The following is a 2430-nucleotide window of genomic DNA, read 5'->3' on the forward strand; positions in this document are numbered from 1 at the left end:
GTTAGAGCCAAAAGAAGTAAAAGTAAGGCAAGAGGACTAGAAATGAAGCTACCCAGGCTGACTGTCTTCAGGTAAAGATTAAAGGAGCTTAGACACTACCATAAGTCATTTAAATAATTGCACAAGAAGTAATTATTAAATACATTTTATTTGATTAATAAATATGTACAGATATATAAAATTGGTGCATGCTTAATTCTTCAAACCAGTCTTTTAGACTTTGCATTAATGGGATGCTCTAGCTAGTCTCTAAGAATAAAGCCGGTAGAATCCATGGTCATAATCCTGTCTGGTCTGCCAAAGACCTGGGTAACCCCAGTAACACTGACAACACAGCCAGGGAAGAAGTGGACTGCCACTTGCTACTTTGACATTTCAAATTTTATATTTTCAATAAAAACTGTGCTGTTGGCCGGGCACGGTGGCTCACGGCTGTAATCCCAGAATTTTGGGGGCTGACGTGGGTGAACTGCTTGAGCTCACAAGTTTGAGAACAGCCTGGGCAATGTAGCAAAACCCCACATGTCTACAAAAGATACAAAAATTAGCCGGGCATGCTGGTGCACACCTGTAGTCCCAGCTACTCAGGAGGCTGAGGTGGGAGGATGGTTTGAGCCCGGGAGGTGGAGGTTGAAGTGAGCCAAGATTGTGCCACTACACTCCAGCCTGGGTGATAGAGCCAGACCTTGTCTCAAAAACAAAACAAAACAACAACAACAAAACTGTGCTGTCATGGTTTTTGGAAAATATATTCACATACCACATGAGAATATATTTGAGATAAGTCAAAAGATCTTACTTATTTAAAGTAAGCCAATGGAAACCTTTCTTTCTTTGTTACCAATAAAGCTGCAGTAGAATAACTTCTAAATACAGACTAAATATACTTAAATATCATCCATATTATTATAAAGTTAAAATGAAGTTATATAAATAGTAATAAATACAACAAAGACAGTGACCAAGAAATTGATCATTTCTTATATGAGCTAGCAAGCATATCTCAAAGTCCTACACTGTACACTATAATTTGAATTTATTCCTCTGTAAAAAGTCATAATCCCACATTCCAGAGGTTTAAACTCCCCAAATCTGAGTGAGCAAATACCATGTAGTGAGGCTATTCTATACTTTCATAAATTTGATTTAAAAATTATATGTTAATATTTATGGTAAACTGTGCAATGAGGCAATGTAGATATCTATGCATAACCACAACTATAAAAGGGTAAGTCTGAGTCTTTTTTATTTGTTGACATATTTAAAGTGATTTTCATATGTTCAGATTTCACAAATATTGAATTTTACAAATGGAAATTACCTTGGAGATCCTCCTTGAAAAGACAGAAATCCAATAAAGTATAATTGTTAGACCTGGGAAACACCCTAGCTGGTATGCTACGCATTAGATATCTGACTTTGAGCAAAGTTCTTAGTTTGCTGAGATTCCATAGGAAACAGCAAAGCTAACTGTATTTACCTTTCAGGGCTTTTTTGAGGGTATGATGGAGTATTGCGTGTCAAGCTTGTAACACTGCCTGGCACAGAATACGGGCTTAATAAACACAAGCTGTTGTCATCAGTATCATCAACAATAGCTTCGTTAACCTAGAAAGGTTAAGTGAGGACTTGACCATGATCAAACAGCTGTAATAGTAAATGGCAGAGTTAGGGCTTGCATTAAGGTTTCCTGAATTTTCATACAGTGCTATTCCCACTAAACCACAACTGCCACTGATGTTTCATCCAGTTTTTAAGATCACATTTTTAAAAGACTGATTAATGTGGTGTACCCTGCAGCTTCTGTTCAGCTTCATTTCAACTTTTCAGTGAAGCCACGGGAACCGTGTGTGATGTGAGATGAAACTGCAGTTGAACGGGGTCTTTAAGCCCGTTAGAGAAATTTCTCTTGTGTTCCATTAGTTTAATTATGACATAGTTAAACAGACGCTGAGAAATTTCAAACCTGGGAACATTTGCCCACAGAGGCACGCAGGCCCTGGCAGTAGCTCTTAATCACATTCCTCAGTCAGGTGTCAAGCAGAACAGAGGCACAAGCACACAAGCAAGTTTTGTTTAGTATACCTCAAAAAGCCAGCCAAGTGGCAAATGTGGACATCTGTTCTAGACTGTGGCTGTCCTGTTTTTTCAGTCTAATCTGTCAAGATAACCATTTCCCCATTCTCTTAAACAAACACAGACTTCCTTGTTTAAACACTATAACAGTTCTAACAGAACACACAGCTTTTAATCATTCTGTGTTAAGTACACTGGCAAGAGTCTGAGAAAAGAATCAAAACATCTTAAATGTAAACTGGCTGATTTTGCTACTTTGCAAATCCCAGGAAACAGAAAAAAGAAACCTGAAATTCCAGATAAAAGGAGTACAACATTGTAGGAGAGACTGCAGTGAATTTTACATTTTTAATT

General features: G+C 37.7%; 2 annotated features.

Annotated features, from left to right (window-relative positions):
* Positions 1851-2065: a silencer, noted in NCBI's record as "fragment chr5:123935182-123935396 (GRCh37/hg19 assembly coordinates)". NCBI's record gives its function as "represses an EF-1alpha promoter that drives an FKBP-Casp9 reporter gene in an ReSE screen in K562 erythroleukemia cells {active_cell/tissue: K562}" and the evidence as "EXISTENCE:reporter gene assay evidence [ECO:0000049][PMID:32094911]".
* Positions 2169-2228: an enhancer, noted in NCBI's record as "active region_23010". NCBI's record gives its function as "activates an Ori minimal core promoter by ATAC-STARR-seq in GM12878 lymphoblastoid cells {active_cell/tissue: GM12878}" and the evidence as "EXISTENCE:reporter gene assay evidence [ECO:0000049][PMID:35858748]".

Source organism: Homo sapiens, chromosome 5 (genome assembly GCF_000001405.40).
Source record: "Homo sapiens chromosome 5, GRCh38.p14 Primary Assembly".
In the NCBI taxonomy this organism is placed as follows: Eukaryota; Metazoa; Chordata; class Mammalia; order Primates; family Hominidae; genus Homo; species Homo sapiens.